This window comes from Homo sapiens, chromosome 4 (assembly GCF_000001405.40).
Source record: "Homo sapiens chromosome 4, GRCh38.p14 Primary Assembly".
Lineage (NCBI taxonomy): Eukaryota > Metazoa > Chordata > Mammalia > Primates > Hominidae > Homo > Homo sapiens.
In genome coordinates this window covers 186,068,861-186,090,059 of record NC_000004.12, presented here as the reverse complement: position 1 = coordinate 186,090,059, position 21,199 = coordinate 186,068,861, and the positions used below count along the sequence as shown (strand labels likewise).

Sequence of the window (21,199 nt, the reverse complement as noted above, 5' to 3'; positions counted from 1 at the left end):
GGGAGCCAAAGCTGTCCTCTTACACTGAGCTGGTTCCTAGGTGGAGCTACAGAACTTGTTGGCAGGTGGGTCGAGCCGTTATTTATCGGAAATGCAAAAACTTGAAAAGACATCTTGAAAGGCCAATCTTACATTCTAAAATAGTGATGTTGTCTGCAGGAGTAATTAAGGAAGTTATAAACCTTGTGGCTAATTTGTTGGTCCTACAAAGGCAGTCTGGTTCCCTGGCAAGAAGGAGGTTTGTTTTGGGAAAGGGAAGTTACCATCTTTGTTTCGAAGTTAAACTATGAACTAAGTTCTTCCCAAAGTTAGTTTGCCTGCACCCAGAAATAAACAAGACTAGAAGCAAGATGGAGTTGATTAGGTCAGATCCCTTCAATATCATAACTTTCTCACTGTTAACAATTTTTGCAAAGGCCATTTTACAGGGAGCTCTGCTCTCAGGATCCAGGCACTTATTCCTCCAGCTGCACAGTGAGTTCGCTTCTGACGGTTCACAACTGTGGCCTTCTCCTTGAATTTTTCTTTCTTTTCTTTCTTTCTTTCATCTTCCTTTCTTTTTTTTCTTTCTTTCTTCCTTTCTTTCTTTCTTCCTTTCCTTTATCTCTTTCTCTCTTTTTTTTTTTTTTGACAGAGTTTTGCTCTTGTTGCCCAGGCTGGAGTGCAGTGGCACAATCTCGGCTCACTGCATTCTCCTGCCTCAGCCTCCCAAGTAGCTAGGATTACAGGCACACGCCACCACGCCCGGCTAATTTTGTATTTTTATTAGAACGGGGTTTCTCCATGTTGGTGAGGCTGGTCTCTAACTCCCAACCCCAGGTGATCTGCCTGCCTCCACCTCCCAAAGTGCTGGGATTACAGGTTTGAGCCACTGCACCTGCCCTTGAATTTCTTTTGGCAAAACATTTTACTTAAGGTCACACTTCCTCCCTGGGGCTGCCTGTGTCTGTGACTGGTTGATGTGAGGGCATGGAGAGGGGTCCAGCCCCTTTGCCTAGATTTCTCCCAATTCTCTAGGGTCATTCCAGCTCCAGAGCTCCCCATGGGGCTGGCTAAGAACTCAGCTGCAATTGTGAATTGCATCAGAGTTAATTATTCTCTCTCTTCCCGATCCAGCTTATTTCACTCACTTATAAATCAGAGCACCCCTGAAACTTCCTTCATGCAAACCTCCATCCCAAAACCTGTTTCCTGGGGAACTGACCTAAGAGAAAAGGAAGCTAAATAAGCCAACCCTGTCTACCCAGAAGTCCTCAAACAAAAGTGGAAGAGTTCCACCATTGAAAAGTCTGATGACTCTTGCCCAATGCACACAAAGAATAAAGAATGGTTTGTGAAAATAGCCACATGGCACAACTGTTTTCTCCCATAAACAGGACAGTGGAGCAAGGCTAGAGAGTTGCAAGAGCCAAGAGTGGCTAATATGTCACCTAGTGTAATTAGTAACTAATGAGTGATTGTCCTTTGTTATTTTAACACAGATGTATATGTTTATAGGGGAAAAAAGTGCTTAAAGCCCCTTTTGTTATGTGAGAGCCAGCCTGGCTTTGGACTGTGAAGTTATAGTCTATGTTCCTCTGTTTAACTGGCTGACACCTAAATCTAAGGCATAGATCCCAGGAGGGAATTTCATCATGATGTCTGGGTTTGGCAGTTTAAACCCATAAAGTCACAATTTCAAAACATTGCATCTAAACATCTCTGCCATGCTCTCTGCAGCCTGGTTCCATCCCCTTCGGCACCCCACTATCTCCCGACACCAAGTTCATGTCTCCCTCATGAACTTCTCTCTTGCTGTTCATTCTGCCATCTTCTTCTCCACTCATTGAAATCTCACCCACCTTGGAAGGGGCTGGGTCTCCTCTGTGGAGTCCTCCCTGCCCAGGTCCATCTTTGGAAATCCCTTTCCACCCAGCTTGTATTGCCCACACCTCTAAATCCCATCCTACTGTTCACCATAGTAGTTAACACAGGGCTAGGCACCTGTAGCTGCTCAAAAAATACAATTTTTAATGGCTTTGTGAATATATAATTTACATATCATAAAATTCACCTGTTTTAAGTGTCCAACTCAATGACTTTCAGTAAATTTACATAGTTGTACAATTATTACCATAACCCAATTATAGAGCACTTTCATCACCCAAAAAAGGTCTCTTCCACCTATTTGCAGCCACTCCCCATTCCTGTTCCTAGGCCCAGACAACCACTCATCTGCTTTGTGTCTCAATAGATTGCAAGAAATTCCTTCTAAGTTCTTGATTTGAAGCCCCTTTACATTTTTCAATGGTCACTATAACTTACCGTTGAGTCTCCTTTACAACCTAGATGTATATTTGAACAATTAGACATTGTAAACTAAGTGGCATCGAAAACTCCTCCCCTCCTCACTAACAAATTGATAGCATCTACCTCTGATTACAGTCTAAAAGTTATCATTTTTAGGTACAACCTAAATACCAAGATTTATTTTAAACTCAGTGTCGATTCAGTTGGGTTTTGTTTTGCAATGTGAAAAACAGGAAGAAGTTGGAGTGGACAGATTACATGATGGCACCCTGAGAGGATTCAAACAAGTCAAGTCACTTGGGCAAATCAAACAAGAGCTCAGACAAACATCCTTTTCCTCGATCCCCTTCTCTCAAACCCCAGGGACAAGGGTTCCTCCGGAGAACAATTACACAGGACAGCCTGCAGAAGTTCTGGATGTTACTTCCTACCTAGGTCAGATAGGAGTCAGAGTTTACACCTTTTACTATTTTTATTGGCATTCATTTAGAGGTCATTACCTGTGCATCTTAACCTCTTAAATATTAAGCAACTTAATGATGTATTGAATATGTCATTGATATATCTGAGGCAGGAGAATGGGGTCTGCAGGCAGGGAAACTAAAGGCTTCCTAGAACTCAATCAAATGGAAAAATCCCAACATTCTACCACCAAGTAAATCACTGTAACTCTACCTCAGCTGTGACAGCTATTCATTTGCGTAGGGTGCACAACAAGTAAATAACTTTGTAATTTCACTTTAGCCTCTTCATTTACATAGGGCATAAACCAAGTAACCAATGGAAACCTCTAGAGAGTATTTAAACCCCAGAAAATCCTGTAACCCGGCTTTTGAGCTGCTTGCTCGGGCCGCTCCCACCCTGCGGGGTGTGCTTTCGTTTTCAATAAACCTCTGCTTTTGTCGCCTCATTCTTTGTGCATTTTGTCCAATTCCTTGTTCAAAGCACCAAGAACCTGGACACTCTCCACCAGTAACATATCAATATATTAAATATAGATATTATATATTAAATAGCATTGATATATGACATATTAAGCAACTTGATATATTGACTAATTCACAATGATTTATTTAAAATATCTTATGAATATTTGAGAATATTTGTGTGATAACACACAAAGCATATAAGAAAAGCAGAAGTTGTGATTTTTATTTTATAATGCCAAAATAAAATGATTATTGCACAGTTAAAAAGCAAATCTTAACTAAAATGCTGAAAAGCAGTGTCTCAGCTGTCAGGGTGGCAAATAACATGAAAGTGACAATTAGTCCTCCACACATTCACAGTGTTGGCCGACTATAGACTCTTCAGAACCAGAGGTACAGTGGATATTTCTCATTCCAGGGTCATGGAACTCAGCCTTGGGAATACTGAACTATTTAAATCAAAGTTCCAAAATGTGACATCTCAAATGCTCCCTGAATTCAGCAGACAAATGAACATTTCAGGTATAGAAATTAACTCAGCTTTATAATTTCAGGTTTCTCTTTAAATACTAGAACTATAAATATTTCAAAAAGCTATTCAGGTCTATTTCCAATAATCAGATTCTCTTTTATTGTAAAACTAAAAATTTTTTGTTGTATTGTAAAACAAAATAAAAAGGCGGGGCGCGGTGGCTCACACCTGTAATCCTAGCACTTTGGGAGGCCAAGGCGAGAGGATCACTTGAGGTCAGGAGTTCAAGACCAGCCTGGCCAACATGGTGAAACCCCATCTCTACTAAAAATACAAAAATTAGCCAGGCATGGTGGCATGTGCCTGTAATCCCAGCTACTCGGGTGGCTGAGGCAGGAGAATAGCTTGAACTCAGAGGTGGAGGTTGCGGTGGGCCGAGGTTGGACCACTGAACTCCAGCCTGGGCGACAGAGCCAGACTCTGTCTCAAAAACAAACAAATAAAAAACAAACAAACAAAAAAACAAAAATAAAAATAGTCTTTCTAGATAAGGACTACCTTATGCGTAGCACATTATTTTATGGTAAAATAATACATTCCTTTGAATATATTATACAGCGATCATCATCACTAATTACATAGGAATATCTAAGATGCATTTATTATCATAATTTTCAAGATCAGGAGTCAAAGAATCCCAGTGGGACCAAGTGATTTTGCCAACGCCATCTCCTGAGTCTGTGACCATGGGAGGAAAGTTCTGTTTCCACAAAGCCAAATAGTGATTAGCCTTCAGAAAGCAAGCCTGCCTACAATACTTTTAGTAAGAGAATTGTTTCCACCCTCCCACAGCAGAAACTCATAATCTCAGGAAAATACAAGTCAATATTCATTCAAATAATCATCTCATTAACTAATAAAAATGAATTGCAAATGTTTTCTGCCCTTGGGTATGTATATTAAAAAATATTTAACATTTAACAAAGTCAACACTGAGACAAGTACTTACTAAAATACAAAGTTTTTCCATTGAAAAAATACTGTAATTAAACTTGTTAAAAATATGGGTATATATTTTACTCTTTTACAAAGGAAATAGCATTATACCCATTGAAACAATTATCTTTCATTCTAAGTGCATCCAAAATACAAAAAGATCATCACAAACCCTCATATACCTCTAACTTTTCTTAAAATGAGGAATGTTTTCAAACTCCTTAAGCTGTCATAGGCTCAGTGGCTGATTGTATATTAATCAGTAGACAATGTTCTTACGTGCTTATATGTTTTATTTTGGGTAAAATTAAGTCAATTGTCAAAAATAGGCCTGAAATAAGGAGACACATTTTCCTAGAAGAGATGTAATTGTGATAGAATATAATCATTTACAAATATGAATAAACAAATTATAACACCTTTATGGAAAACTTAAATTTGCCATAGAACTTTTTAAATTGAGAAAGTTTCTCCTTTGCTAATTGAATATTTAAATAAATTTAATGTACAGAGTTTTTGGATCCAAGTGCTACTTGCAATTTATGACGAAAGGCACCTATCCGTTCTTTCTGAACTGGCCAGTTCAAGATGCAGTGAGATTTAAACATTCCTCTTCGCAAACAGAGTGCATGGTTCAGTTTATAATCTGGAATCTCCTCAAGGAAAACCAATATAATGGAATCCAGATTTTGTTCAATAGCTTGTTGAACTGCATGATGTACCTTGAATCTAAGTAAAAAAATGTATTGAAGAATTAATATACGGTTTTTAACAGCCAGAAGCAATACTATTTAAAAATACTCTGTAGAGTTTAAACTGTTACTGAAACTCAGGTTTTTTTTTTCTTAATTTTATTTTAAAAATTCTTTGAGTTGTGAGTAATATTGGTAATATTTAAAAGTTTAATTGAAGCTCACCTGAGGCCAGGAGTTCAAGATAAGCCTGGCCAACACGGTGAAACCCCATCTCTAATAAAAATACAAAAATTAGCCAGGCTTGGTGGCGCGTGCCTGTAATCCCAACTACTTGAGAGGCTGAGGCAGGAGAATTACTTGAACCCAGGAGGTGGAGGCTGCAGTAAGCTGAGATCACACCACTGCACTCCAGCCTGGGCAACAGAGCAGGACTCCATCTCAAAAAAAAAAAAAGAAATTTAATTGAAAAGCAAGTACACACTTAAAATTTCACAATGTTTACCTACCTTTTGCATAATGGGTCTTTTAATAGATGGTGTGTTATAACAAAAATAATTTTTCTGCTTCTTTTGATGCTGTTAACAATTGCTTCTAGTTCAAAAACACCCGCCTCAAAGTCCCTTTCTTCCAGACAAAATTTGAGAGATTGGTCTTCCTTTTCCATTGAAGAGAAATGTTCCCAGACCCAATCCTTATCTTTATAGGCATGAATTATATATGCTGCATATTCAAACTGTTCTGTCTGTCTGTCTATTTCTTTGAAACCAAGAACTCGATGTACTGAAACATTCCAATAAAAAGATATCCTCCAGCCCTCAAAGTGGATGAGAAGTACAATAAAGATAAAAATCAACAGGATACTGGTATTGATCATGAAAAAGAGTTCAAAGGGGGCACTGTCTTTGCAAGATGATGTATCAAAAAGTCTCACTGGGAACCCATGATAGTGAGGTGGAGTGTTGCAAAGGTAGTGGCTTGACAGCTCAGGGATGTTGGTATGGGTCTCGTTAATCCAATTAACAAACCAGGCAATACTTTCACACGTGCAATCAAAGGGATTAAAGCGCATATCTAACTCAGTCAGGTTCCTGAAAGCTGGCCCGAAAACCTTCTTCTCAACGGATGTTATGAGATTCTTCTGAAGGTTCAATGACTTTAGAGACACCTGATTATTAAAGACAGATGCTGGAAGTGTGTTTAAATTATTCAATCCTAAATCGATGATCTTTAGTTCAAATAAATCCTTGAAGACCTCAACTGGGATCTCGTCAAAGCCGTTGGACTCCAAGTTAAGGATGTGGAGGTGAGACAGACCCTTTAGGAAATAAATGGGACCACCAGGGTTTGCGTGTTTCCAGAGCCGTGCTAAGTTGTTATGCTGCAAATCGAGAATTTCTAGTTTCTCAAGACCCTCCAACATGTCATCATTTATGTTGGCTATGTTGTTGTTGCTTAGATCCAGAATGGTCAAGTTACGAAGAGGCTGGAATGGTGAAGGAGAGCTATCCACATTTTTAAGGGCCACCCTTCGGAGCATCAGTCGTTGAAGGCTTGGGACCAAGGCAAAGGAGTTCCTAGTCAGCTGCAGGTACTTGTTGTAGGAAAGATAGATTTCGAAAATATTTTCTAGACCTCTCCATTCCTGGCCTGTGAGTTCTTGCCCAATTTCATTAAGGCCCAGGTCAAGTACTTCTAGGTGGCCCAACCAAGAGAAAGCATCACTCTCTATTTTTGAGATTTTATTCTTGGTTAGGTTGAGTATGTGTAAGGGAGAATGAGCAAGTGATACAAATGTTTCATTTGTCAAAGTTCGCAAACTTGTAAAGGAGTTGGATAGACTTAAGTATTTCAGGTTTATCAATCCTGTGAACATATTGCTTTTTATGCCTGGAATATCATTATCTTCCATGTTAAGGTGCTCCAAACATTTTAGCCACTGAAAAGAAAAATCATCAATCTTGGGGAGTGAGGCAAGGGAAATACTTTGTTTAGTAAAAGACCGTTTCAAATTCAGGTACCTCACATTGAAAAGCCCGTGCAAAGAGTGAGAAAACAAATGCTGTATATTATTATACTCTAGGAAGAAATATTCTAGTTGTGGAAGCCAAGCAAAGGAATCGTTACCAACCACATTTAAGTTGTTGTAGGAAAGATCGAGCATAGTGAGATTTGTCCACTTTAGTCCCAAGAAAGTTGTATTGCTGGTGGTGGACAGCTGGCTGTTACTCAGAGACAGATTCCGAATGCTTGTGTTTGCTAATTCCAAACATAGCTTCTCTGTAAGGCTGGGACCCAGCTGGACATTGTTCAGAAAGAGGCCAAATAATCTTCCAATTGCGTGAAAACACCCTGGAGAAAACTAAAGGTAGGAAAAAAAAAGAGGTTAACAATCAAAAGAACACAGACTCTGTAATGCTGTTGAAAGCCTTTTTTTTTTTTTTTTTTTTTTTTTTTGAGACGGAGTCTCGCTCTGTCGCCCAGGCTGGAGTACAGCAGTGCAATCTCAGCTCACTGCAAACTCCACCTCCTCAGTTCAAGCAATTCTCCTGCCTCAGCCTCCCGAGTAGCTGGGATTACAGGCATGCGCCACCACGTCCAGCTAAGTTTTGTATTTTTAGTAGAGTCGGGGTTTCACCGTGTAGGCCAGGCTGGTCTTGAACTCCTGACCTCATGATCCGCCCGCCTCAGCCTCCCAAAGTGCTGGGATTATAGGCCTGAGCCGCTGCACCCGGCCAGATGCAGTTCTTTACTCCATCTCCGCTCACCCTTCACCACATCCCATGGGCAGAGCATTTCTCCCCCTTCCTGTAATGCACGAGTCCTTCCTTACTCGGTTCCTGCAGCGCCCACCTCTTACTCCAGCCTCTGACCTCCCCTGGCCACGGGCTAACTTCTGCTCAGCATTCACAGCCTCAGCTTAGATGCCACCTTTTCAGGGAGGCTTCTCTGACCTTCCAGTCCAGGATCCATCTCCTGGTACTTTTTCTTTATCACCATGAGAACAATTGCAATGAATAAACTGCTCGTGAAGTCACTCCTGGGGCAGTTCCTGGTTGTGTCTTGGTGCCGCTGTTCTCAGTGAGCCTCATGGAAGGAAGTTGTGGATGGCTTTTATGATGAGGCGGTGACGGCACACTTTCCTTTCTGGAACTCTGAGCTCTAGCTCTCCCTCTCGTCTTTCCACCCGGATTTTCTCCTGACTTTCTTTTACTATCGTGTTTTTCCAGCTCCCTTCTGCTCCGTCCTACACCCTTACCAGAGCCTTGGCTGTTCTGGGACTCACTTCGGGGACAAGAGAACAGCAGGTGGGAGAGGAGGAATCCAGAGAGAATGGAGGCCAGTTCCGGCAGGCAGTCGAAACCGCCAGAGGAGTAAAGGGCTCTGATTTCTTTTTCTTTTTTTTTTTTTTTGAGACAGAGTTTCGCTCTGTCCCCCAGGGTGGAGTGCAGTGGTGCGATCTCAGCTCCCTGCAACCCTTGCCTCCTGGGTTCAAGCGATTCTCTTGCCTCAGCCTCCTGAGTAGCTAAGATTGATGTCTCCTGCTCTTTAGATTTAATATCATATTATGAACATCTCCCATACAATTAAGAAGCATTCCAAAGCTTAATTTTAATGCCTGTAAAATAATGCTATCATGCAGATTTATCATACTTAATTTCATAATTTTCTGCTTTGCATTTTAACTCATTTGTTTATGATAAAGCACCCTTTCTTCTATACTTCTCTCTTTTTTTGCATTAGCCCTACTGTCCCCCAAGTGACACATTACAAATCAGAGCCCCCTCCAGGCTGGGCGCGGTGGCTCACGCCTGTAATCCCAGCACTTTGGGAGGCCGAGGTGGAGGTGGATCATGAAGTCAGGAGTTCGAGACCAGCCTGGCCAACACGGTGAAATCCTGTCTCTACTAAAAATCCAAAAATTAGCCAGGGGTGGTGGCAGGCACTTGTAATCCCAGCTACTCGGGAGGCTGAGACAGGAGAATCGCTTGAACCCGGGAGTCGGAGGTTGCAGTGAGTCCAGATTGTGCCACTGCACTCCAGCCTGGGCAACAAAGAGTGAAACTCAGTCTCAAAAAATAAAATAAAATAAAATAAAATAAAATATTGATTAAAAATACTATATACATAAAATATTTTTAAAAATTTATCACAGCACTTGACACACAGTTAAGTGCCTTAACAGTGTGAATTTCAGTACAGTAAGAATTTAAGCTATCGTTTTTCCTTATAATTATTTGGAGAAAAGCCAGGGATAAATATACCCAAATGCTAACAGTGGTTGTTTCTGACTATGGACATTTGAGTGATTTTTTAAAATCACCCCTTATTATTATTTTCTCATTTATTCATATATTTAATAAGATTACTACAATAAATGTCTTAATCATAGAAAAATGCAGTTTAAAAAATAAAATGAAGAGCTTGCACAAAACATCTTAATATCTTAGGATAAATTTGTACGCCATTTATTTTTATGTCTGAAAAAAAAAATAGAGTTGTAATTAAGGATTTCCAGTAGTCTTATAGCCTGGAACAAAATGAGTGTAAAATACAGACAAACCTGTATGTGAAAATGCAGAGTCCTATTTAGGGAAAAGTAGTCAGTTGGCGGGACCGAGAGAAAGCAAAAGAGCAGGTAAATTATTAGTCTGTCTTCATGATCCAGGACACGTAGCCCTCCTGTGCAAATAACTGACAATCTTCCTGTGCCCAGCTATCACCAGGCCCCTGCGAGTTAGCCCACTGCAACCTGGGCGCTGTCAGTGCAGCTCAAAGCCCTCTTCAGCACACAGCATAAACAAGACCCTGTAAAATCCCCAGCAAGCCTTTGTTTCTTTGCAGTCAGCTTCTCTTGCTGATATGCCCGTTGCCTTCTCGCAATGTAGTTTCCTACTTTCACGAATAAATGTGCCTTTCTCCACCTGCAACTGTCTTGGTAAATTCTTTTACCCCTGTGCCACCGGTCCAGATAGTTGTTGCTCTCCCGTGACAGAAAATGATTAGCTTGAAGATCATGATTCCAAAAAGAGACAGTCCTGTCAGTTATTTAAGCTGACTTCATTATAGGAAGGTTTTTATAACCACATACTGCTGCTGATCATTTCCTGAGCACTGCCTACGCCAGACACGGTCCTAAATTCTTTACCACACAGTCCTATGAAGCAGAGTCATTATCACGCCCATTTGAAAGCTGGGAGGCTAGAGAGGGAGAACTTGAATAACTTGCCTGATAACATGATTGTTAAAAGACAAAGCCCAGAGACCAAGCCAGCTAACCCGACTGTGAACCTGGGGCTCTTGACCATCGTACTCTTTAATTAATAACTCTGTCAGAGAGTTTGTGTGAGAGAGCACTATTTCCACTTTATAAGTGAGGACACAGACTCAGAGATGTTAAGGATGTTCGCAAGGTCACGGCACAGGGGTTCCACCCAGTGCTGCAGGGCGGCAGAGTCCCGTCTCCCGACCTCTCCTGGGGCTGCCTGAGCTCTCAGGAGGATGACACCAATGCCCCCAAGCAGTAGGTGGGAAGGATTGCTGGAAGACAGGCAGAGGCTAGAGAGCATTACATTCCTGTGTATGTGACACAGATAGGGACTATCCACCTTAAAGGCAGAATGCAAAATAATTTTACCTTACTTCTTACCTCTTTAATTTGATTCGATGACAACTCTAATTTTTTTAAAGATGAATTGGCAAAGATATCCAGTTCTTCACTTTTTAGCGCTTGAATTTTATTGTTTGATAATAGAAGCTCTTGGAGATTTTCCAGCTGAACCTGAGTTCCTAATTTTGTAGATGACAAGCCATTATGAGACAGATCTAATGTGATTAAATTCTGAAGGGAAAAAATAATATGCATATGTTAGAGTCTTGCTGTCAAAAACAGTTCTTTTAAATGTAAGTACATCTGAAAAATACTTCAACAGCAAAATCAACACCTCTCTATTATTCTGTAGAATACTAACAGTAAGCATAATAAAAAATCTTTGATCTGATTAATCTTTGTTACGTTATAATCTTTGTGATGGTCACCCTTGCAACCATTGTAGGAAGGATTTTATTTCTTACTTCAAGAATCATTTTATTTCTCTTACCAAAATAAAAAAGACTTAAGCTTATTTATGATATAAGGAACATTGCTAATTTATGAACTTATTTATCATAACCTTTTACTTATGATGCAAGAAATTTTCACATGGCTTATCAAACACACAGTGTCATGCTTTAACCTTGAAAATAAGTATCAGAAAAAAGAACAGAATGTTTTCTTAAAAAGCATGAGAATTTTGCCATCTATGAAATTTTAAATAGATTTTTATACTGAGAAAGGGTCATATTATATAAATTTTGAGTCATGACTAGTACAGAATATTAAGTTTTGTTTGCTTTATCAGTACTGTGGGATGTTTTTATCACCCTTTGCTATTTTTGAATATGTATGCTTCAAATTCAGGCAAAAGGTAAGGGAAAGCGATACCAGTTAAGGCAAAGTCTAATGTAATCGCTGTTAACGAGAAGCAGGTTTTTTAATTTAAGTCTTTACAAAAATAACATTTTGCAATGATTTCTCTAGCCAGATTTTGAGGCCTTTGTATTCAAAGATATTTCATCCACATTAGACTCTAAGAAGACCCAAGAAAAGATTTAAAATAGCTAGGGAGCAAATCACTTTATGTTTCACAGCATATTTACATTTGTACATTATTCTTGGCATCTGAGGAAGAGCAATGTTCAATTTTTTATAAGGCCATAAAATGAAGTAACTTGAAAATCGCTTTGGTTAAAGAAAAGCACTTAATAATTGCCTCAGATTTAGAAACAATAACATGCGTTTTTTTTTTTCTGGTGCTCTAAAGCATTGTAGGGTGAATATGGTTAACTACGATTTATTGTGTATTTTTTAAAAGCTAGAAGAGCGTATTTTGAATGTTCACAACACAAATGAGAAACATTTGAGATGATGGATATGATAATTACCCTGATTTAATCATTACACATTATATACACATACTGAAAAATCATTCTCTATCTCATAAATATGTGCAATTATTAAACATCAACTAAAAAGAAAAGAAAAAAAACTAAAATTCGAGCAAAGTTTTGAAAAGAAAAAGGAATCATTGAAAAAGTGACACCACTATTGAAAAAGTCATTGAAATAGCCACTGAGGAGATTTCTGAAACCAGGAGTAGGTAATTTTTAGTTGAACAATTCACTTGATCATTGTATCAATTTGTTAATTTTATTTAAGTCAGAATTTGGACTCAAGACTTTTGTCACGACTTCACATGCTAAATCAGCAGCATTGAAAGTTTAGTTTCCATGTTCTTAGGGGATATTCTGATTCTTCTCTGTTCATTACTTCTATCTCTTGCGTCTAAGTTCTATTTCTAATGGGAGAAAGCGAGAGAGGCAAACATTGAAAATTAAGGATGAAACTGATTTAAGAGTATATTTTCTCTTTTGGAAGCATTTTCTATTATAATGGCAATATTTGTGGCAAATTGGATTAGATCAAATTTCTTCCTCTTTATTTCCTTGATATTTAGATAGTAAGTCTAAGGATGGGTAACTGACTTAAAAACATTAGTAACAATAGACATTTTCAACTTACCTTCTGCTTGACAAAGGGATTATTTTTAATTTTCTGGATTGAGTTGGACATGAGATGGAGTTCAGTCAAATTCGTGCAGAAGGCAAAGGTTTTATCAGAAAGTTGAGATAGCTCATTGTGCTGGAGGTTCAAAACTTTTAACATGGGAAGTTTCTGGCACAATTCTGGCTCCAGTTTTGAGATGGTGTTAAATCCTACATCCAAGCTAGTTAGCTGGCTATACCTTGTGAAGTTGGCGGCTGGTAATCTTCTGAGTTGATTATGGGTAAGGTTCAACACTGTTATGTTTGTGGGTAGATCATCGGGTACCTGAGTCAACTTCAGGTGGCTGCAGTCAGCAACTTCATGGCTAACAGTGCACTTGGTGGTGGAGGATGCACACAGCATCCCAAAGGGCAAAAGGCCCCCCCAAAAGTAGATACAAGGCAAAGTCTGTCTCATGATTCTGCTGTAGAAAAGAAACATTAAAAAGTATGAGCAACATTAATAGCAGATGGCTTTCAAATGCATTGGTATATTCCTTGTAAAATATATCACCAAAATATGACCATGTATGATGTTATTACTCATAGTTTTATGCCATACAAGTACATATTATACAAGTCATACATCAAACGGAAAAATGTCAAACAGTACAGAAAGGTAAAAAATAAAACATCCAAACTTCCTTCCTATCCTTCACCTTAATGCCAGTTGCAGCTGCAATGTCTCTCTTTTGATAGGTTCTATCTGTAATTCTCATGATTACCTCCATAAACTTAATATTCTTGATCTTCTATTTCTTCATTTACTCATTTCACTATAAAGATAAGGAATTTAATTATATTTTTCTCTCATTCTATTCACAACTTTTCTTTAGTTAATTTTGTTTGTTTTTGTTTCGTTTTATTTTGTTCTGTTTTGTTTTTGAGATGGAATCTGGCTCTGTCACCAGGCTGGAGTGCAATGGTGCAATCTCGGCTCACTGCAACCTTCACCTTCTGGGTTCAAGTGATTCTCCTGCCTCAGCCTCCCGAGTAGCTGGGATTACAGGCACCCGCCACCACACCTGGCTAATTTTTATATTTTTAGTAGAGACGAGGTTTCACCATGTTGGCCAGGATGGTCTCGATCTCTTGACTTCATGATCTGCCCACTTCAGCCTCCCAAAGTGCTGGGATTACAGGCGTGAGCCACCGTGCCCAGCCAGTTAATTTTTATTTTATTTTAAATAAATAAATACATTTTTCTTCACATTTCTTCCTTTCTTACATTTCCTAAAACTGTCAGCTATAACATTGCTTGACATTGTCAAGATGTGAAATGTTAGCATTTTACCCTGAAACTATGATTACATATGAGGTCCTTGGCCTACATTAATTCAGCAAATCTAAAGTCAGTAAATATTATTTACAATTTTAAAAATTATTTGTATTTATTTATTTATTTTTAGAGACAGGGTCTCACTCTGTCACCCAGGCTGGAGTACAGTGGTACTATCATGGCTCACTGCAGCTTCCAACTCTCGGGCTCAAGGGTTCCTTCCACCTCAGCCTCCCAAGTAGCTGGGACTACAGGCATGTACCACACCCGGCTAATTTTTTATTATTTTTTAAATTTTATAGAGAGATAGGGTCTTGCTATGTTGCCCAGGCTGGTCTCAAACTTTTGACATCAAGTGATCCTCCAGCCTTGGCCTCCTAAAATGCTGGGATTACAGGCATGAGCCAATGTGCCCAGCCTCAATCACAATTTTACAATCATATAAATAAATAGTCACTGCAGATCATAATGGAACTGAAAAATTCTTATCACCTACTAATCTAGCCGTCATAATATCATGGTGCAATGCATTCCTCACATGTTTGTAGTGATGCTGGTGTAAACAAACCTACTGCACTACTAGTTATATAAAATATAGCACACATAATTATTTACAGTACCTAATAGTTGATAATGATAATAAATGAATGTTACTGATTTATGTATTTACTATACTATTCTTTTTATCATAATTTTAGAGTGTACTCCTTCTACTAATTTTTTTTTAAGTTAACTGTAAAACAGCCTCAGGCAGGTCCTTCAAGAGGGATTCCAGAAGAAGGCACTGTTGTCATAAGAGATGACAGGTCCGTGCGTGTTGTGGCCCCTAAAGAGCTTCCAGTGGGACACGACGTGGTGGAAGGCAGTGACATTAATGATCCTGACTCTGAGCAGGCCTAGGCTAATGTGTGTGTTTGTGTCTTCGTTTTTAACAAAAACGTTTAAAAAGTTAAAAAAAAAGAAGAAAATTAAAAATAGAAAAAAGCTTATAAAATAAGAATACAAAGAAAATATTTTTGTATAGGTGTACAATGTGCTTGTTTTAAACCAAGCATTATTACACGAGTCAAAAAGTTTTGAAAAATTAAAACTCTTATAAAGTAAAACAGTTATAATAAGTTAATTATTACTGAAGAAAGTAAAATTTTTAAATAGGTTTAGTATAACCTAAGTGTGCAGTGTTCATAAAGTCTGCAGTGGTGCACAGTCATGTCCGAGGCCTCCACATCCACTTCCCTTCTCACTCACAGACTCACCCAGAGCCACTCCCAGTACTGCAAGCTCCACTCGTGGTAAGTGCCCTATGGAAGTGCCATTTGTAACCTTTTGTACCACATTTTCACTTACCTTTTCTATGTTTAGATACACAAGTACTTCCCATTGTGTTACAATTGCCTCCAGTATTCAGTGCAGTCACACGCCGGCTGTCTGGTTTTGCAGGCTGGGCGCCACAGGCTGTACTACCTAGTTCTGTGTAAGCACTCCCTGTGACGTTCCCACAAGGATGAAGTCCCCTCACGATGCATTTCTCAGAACATATCCCCATGATTAAGTGCCACATGACTGTGTTCTATTTCTTTGGGGTAAATAACTAGGATTGGAATGCCTGGGCCATTTGGTGAGGCCATTTGGTTTTACAGGAAACTGCCAGATCCTTTGGGAAAGTGTTGCACCACCAACTTTCCTGACAACATTTGGTACCTATTTTTATTATTATTTTTAATCATTCTGCTGAACATATAGTGATAGCTAATTATGGTTTTCATTTGCATTTCCCTGCCGACTAACGATATTTAACAATTTTCATGTGCTTATTGTTCATTTATCTTCCCTTATATGTTCAAATATTTTGCTCATCTATTAGATTGTTTCCTGTTTATTATTGTGTTGTAGGAATTTTTTATGTATCTGAGTGTCAGTCCTTCGTCAGATTCCTATTTTGTAAATATTTATTCCCAGTGTGTGAGTTGCCTATTTATTTTCTTACTGATGTCTTCTTAATTATGATGAAATCTAGTTTATCATCTTCTCTTTTATTTTTATCATTTCTGTGTCTCCTCTAAGAAATTTTCCTACTCCCATTACTTAGATACTCTCCTCTAAAAAGCTTTATGGTGTTAGCTTCTATGTGAAGGTGTGTGACCTCTCCTAAGTTAATTGTTGTGTATGCATGAAGTAGGAGTCATGGTTTTTTGTGTGTATATCCAGTCAGTCAGATCTTGTTTTTTGTTTTTTTTTTGAGATGGAGTCTCACTCTGTCACCCAGGCTGGAGTGCAGTGGTGCCATCTTGGCTCACTGCAGTCTCCACCTCCTGGGTTCAAGTGATTCTCCTGCCTCAGGCTCCCGAGTAGCTGGGACTACAGGCACGCGCCACCATGCCTGGCTAATTTTTATATTTGTAGTAGAGACAGGGTTTCACCATGTTGGCCAGGCTGGTCTTGAACTCCTGACCTCAGGTAATCCATCCACCTCGGCCTCCCAAAGTGCTGGGATTATAGGGGTGAGCCACCACGCCTGGTCCAGTCAGACCATTTTTTAAAGAGACTTCTTTCCCCCACCGGATTGTTCTGTGCTTTCCTTAGAAACCGAGTAAATGTTTTAAGCGAGGGTCTATTTCTGGGCTGTCTACTCTCTTCCACTGAAATATTTGTTAGTTCTTAGGCCAATACCACATTGTTCGGATTACTTTAGCTTTACAACAAGTCTTGAAGTTCAGTGAGCGAAACCTCCCATCTTGCTCTTCTTCTAGATTGCCTTTTCCGTTGCTATGGTTGATGGAAATTATCCAATATTGTGTATTATTTATTATTAATTATTGCTTCTCACTAGAATGTGAAGCTATAATAGTAGAGGACATAGTTCTTATTCCATACGGTGTTGTCTGTGCCTAGAACAAGACCTGGCACTTTGTTGGCTCTGAAGAAATAAATATATGTTGAATACATAGCCGATATGGTTTGCCTCTGCGTCTCCACCCACACCACACGTTGAATTGTAATTCCCAGTGTTGGAGGTGGGGGCTGGTGGGAGGTGACTGGCTCATGGGGCAGAGTTCTCACAGATGGTTCAGCACCACCCCCTCGGTGCTGTTCTCCCGATAGTGAGTGAGTGAATTCTTATGAGATTCGGTCGTTTAAAAGTGTGTGGTGGTTGGGCGCAGTGGCTCACGCCTGTAACCCCAGCACTTGGGAGGCCAAGGTGGGCAGATCACCTGAGGTCAGGAGTTTGAGACCAGCCTGGCCAACATGGTGTAACCGTGTCTCTACTAAATACAAAAATTAGCTGGGTGTGGTGGTGGGTGCCTGTAATCCCAGCTACTGGGAAGGCCGAGGCAGGAGAATCGCTTGAACTAGGGAAGCGGAGGCTGCAGTGAGCCGAGATCCCACCACATGCACTCCAGCCTGGGTGACAAAGTGAGACTTCGCCCCCACTCCCCCCAAAATAAATAATAAAAAAATAAAAGTGTGTGGCACCTTCCCCTTCTCTCTTCTTCCTGCTCCGGCTATGTGAAGGTGCCAGCTCTGGCTTTGCCTTCTGTGGTGGGTGAAAGCTCCTTGAGGCTCCTCCAGAAGCAGAGGCTGCTATGCTGCCTGCACCACTTGCAGAACCATCAGCCAATTGAACCTCTTTCTTTATAAATGACCAGTCTCAGGTATTTCTGTAGAGCAATGTGAGAATGCACTCATACAATAGCTTTCCATGGGCATTTAGTCAGCTCAGGAAAGCCACTCAACTCCATACATTGTCACACTTTATTTTGGTGGGATGTGTACCCAGTGTGATACTCTGTGGTGTGATCAACAACCAAATTTCAGATATTTTAAAAAATCAAATACACCCACAAGGTATGGAGATGAAGCAGTGGTAATGATATCTAAATAGATATTCCACAAGATCTAAAAGTCATGACATGAAAATTATTCCAGGTAAGTGTCAGGTAATAAAATCACCTTAGGTGACTAATCCTAGGAAAACAGAACTAATGTGAGTATATAGAATTGTTCTAATATACTTAAAAATAGCGATTTTACTAATATTCTAATTTAGTTCTCAGAAACAGAAAAAACAACAAAAAAAACTGGCTTCCATAAACTAATATTCCCATCTCATGGCCTTTACAACTCTGGCACTAATCATTGTAAAGCTGTGCACATTCTTTATATCCACAGGCCATGAGGAATGCCACAGCTAGGCCAGCAAGGATGCATTTGCTGACTTGCCCAGGCACGTGAAGGATGCAGGGCTGGCAATGATACCTCTCAAATGCTGGGGACCAGCTCCCCACCTGCCCCCTCTCTGAGAGTGTCCCAAACCTCTCTTCCAGTTCCTTCAGAACTTCCTATCTCTATTTACCAACTCATAGGTAAGGTCCCTACAATACATTCTCCTTGCTTAGGTGAGATGTACCCCTCTGGTAGGGCTCCTGCTATAGGTCAGAATTGCTGAGAAGGACTAATCCATTACAAAGCATATCCCTGAATGACTTAAGGACTTGCCCCATCTGAAGACATTTCATCAGTGGGCAAAACTCACCAAATGCTAGGCAGGAGGAGTGAAAGAGGAACAAACTTGGAGAGACTCCTATGAAATTTCAGAATTGCAACCATGCACACAAAAATCCTAAAACCTTCATTTCCAAAGAAAAGAGATCTTGATTAATAAAAAACTTTTCATCAGTAACATGAACCACTGGAAAACAATAGAGATAAGCTTTCCAAACATTTAGAGAAAATTATTTTGAATTTAAAATTTCATATCCAGGCAAAGCATAGTGGCTCATCCCCACAATCCCGGCACTTTAGAAGGTGTAGGCAGAAGGAGATCAGGAGCTCAACACCAGCCTGGGCAACATAGTGAGACCCCGTATCTACAAAAATATTTTAGAAAGTAGCCAAGTGTGGTGGCACAAGCCTGTAGTTCCAGCTACTTGGGAGGCTGAGGCAGGAGGATCGCTTGAGCCCAGGAGGTTAAGGCTGCAATGAATCATGATCACACCACTGCACTCCAGCCTGGGCAACAGAGCAAGACCTTACCTCTAAAAAACAAGAAAATTACCTTTGACCAGGCCAAGAAAATTACCTGTGGCTCATGCCTGTAATCCCATCACTTTAGGAAGCTGAGGCTGGAGGATCCCTTGAGCCTAGGAGTTTGGGACCAGCCTGGGCAACACAGGGAAACCTCATCTCCACCAAAATTTTTTTTTAAATTAGCTGGCCATAGTGGTTCACACCTGTGGTCCCAGCTACTCGTGACACTGAGGTGTGAGAATTGCTTGAGCCAGGGAGGTCAAGGCTGCAGTGAGCCACGATCATGCCACTGTACTTCAGCCTGGGCAACACAGCGAGACCTTGTCTCTAAATCGATAAATGAAATAAAATGAAATAAAATAAAATAAAATAAGATAGGGAAATTTCACATCCATCTGAATAACTAAATAAAAAGGTATAAGTATTTTGAGATATGCAAAAATTCAGTAAGTTTATAGCCATACGATCTGTATGAAAAGGTTATTCTAGGACATGCTTCAGTAAAACAAGCAAAAATGCAGTTAAAGGATGAAATGAGAGTGAAGAAAACGTTGCTGTTGAATGAGATCTAGCAGAAATAAAGAAAATGAAAAAAAATTAAAAAGAGACTCACTCAGCCTTAGAATTTTGGAAATATTTTGTGAGGGCACATGGAATTCACATTCTTTGTCCAAGTGAGAGACAATATTGCCTGATGGTTAGGACATGGGGTCTGGAGGCAGACTACCTGGAGTTAACCACTATCCATAGTTTGATTTGTAAACTTTGCAACCTTTGTAGTAGGTTCATACACAGGCACGCCCATATGAAGACACATACCAGCACGTAATCATCTGTAAACCTGGGAATCAACTTGCTGAAGCCAACTCCATTTTTACCCGAGTACCCCACAATTGCCGATACCAGTTTCTGATCTTCCCATACACCTTAACAACTTTCCACTTCTCCACTTCTTCCATTATCCTTCATTAGGTGAAAGAAAGCCATTTACTTACTCCTAGGCATACCTGAATGTTCTCTCCTATCTAAGACATTGTCATACAATGCCAGCTCCTGTCTCCCCTCCAGCCAATAAAACTAACAAAAGGGGATACGCTCTTTTAACCTCTTGGAGTTTTGTTTCTTTAAGGCAAAGATGTGATTTGCTAAAAAGACTGTTGCAAAATGATTTCCATAGCTTCCCTAATGTGTTTTTTCCAGGTACAGAATGCTACAGAGAAAAAAATTAAATACTGCATAAATACATTATCACATTAACTAGATATTGGTGCTATTACTTGTGTTCTGAGTTATACCCTTCTCCCATGCCCATATCATATCCCTTTTCTTCCACTTTCCTTCCTGAATAATTCTGACTAGATTTCAAGCACCAGATCAAAGAAAGACCAAAGAAGGCTAAAACCACATGCATTCTGCTAGCAAACTCTACTCAGCAAGAGAGACCCTGCCCAGTAAGAACGTGAAATGAACACCTTCACTTACTTGGATGACTGCTAGCCTTTCCTTTTTTCTTTAGTCCAAATCCAGACATTTCATCAGGGAAGTGTGTGGCAAATAGACGGCACTCTCGAAAGTGAAAGTAAAGCTTGAAAAAAAATGCTTTTATGTTTGGTGCATTCCAAGAAGGGCAAAGGGAGAAAACAAAAACAATCTCTGACAACCTCAGAGAGGCGTTTCAAACCGCCTCTGAAAAACACCTAGTTTTTATTTTATTTTAACTTTTTTTAAGCTGAGATCCTTGGATTTCATTGAAAGGGTCACAGATTTAGCAACAGCTAAAGTTGAAAGTGGGGACCTCACCATTTGATGTGGGCGGGTCTGGACCTCTGCAAGTTAAGGAATAACAGTGAATCCCTCAATTTTCTGCTAG

At 39.8% G+C, this 21,199-nt stretch overlaps 1 protein-coding gene across 1 annotated transcript; it reads right to left on the bottom strand.

The window, feature by feature from the left end:
- Positions 1-1,986: 1,986 nt before the first annotated feature.
- TLR3 (toll like receptor 3) lies at positions 1,987-20,904 on the bottom strand. The gene is made up of 5 exons (NM_003265.3): positions 20,812-20,904; positions 13,000-13,447; positions 11,029-11,220; positions 5,888-7,740; positions 1,987-5,415 (listed from the first exon to the last, which is right to left on the bottom strand). Exons 2-5 carry the CDS (start codon positions 13,438-13,440, stop codon positions 5,187-5,189), a joined length of 2,715 nt encoding a protein of 904 aa, NP_003256.1. The 5' UTR covers positions 13,441-13,447; positions 20,812-20,904; the 3' UTR covers positions 1,987-5,186.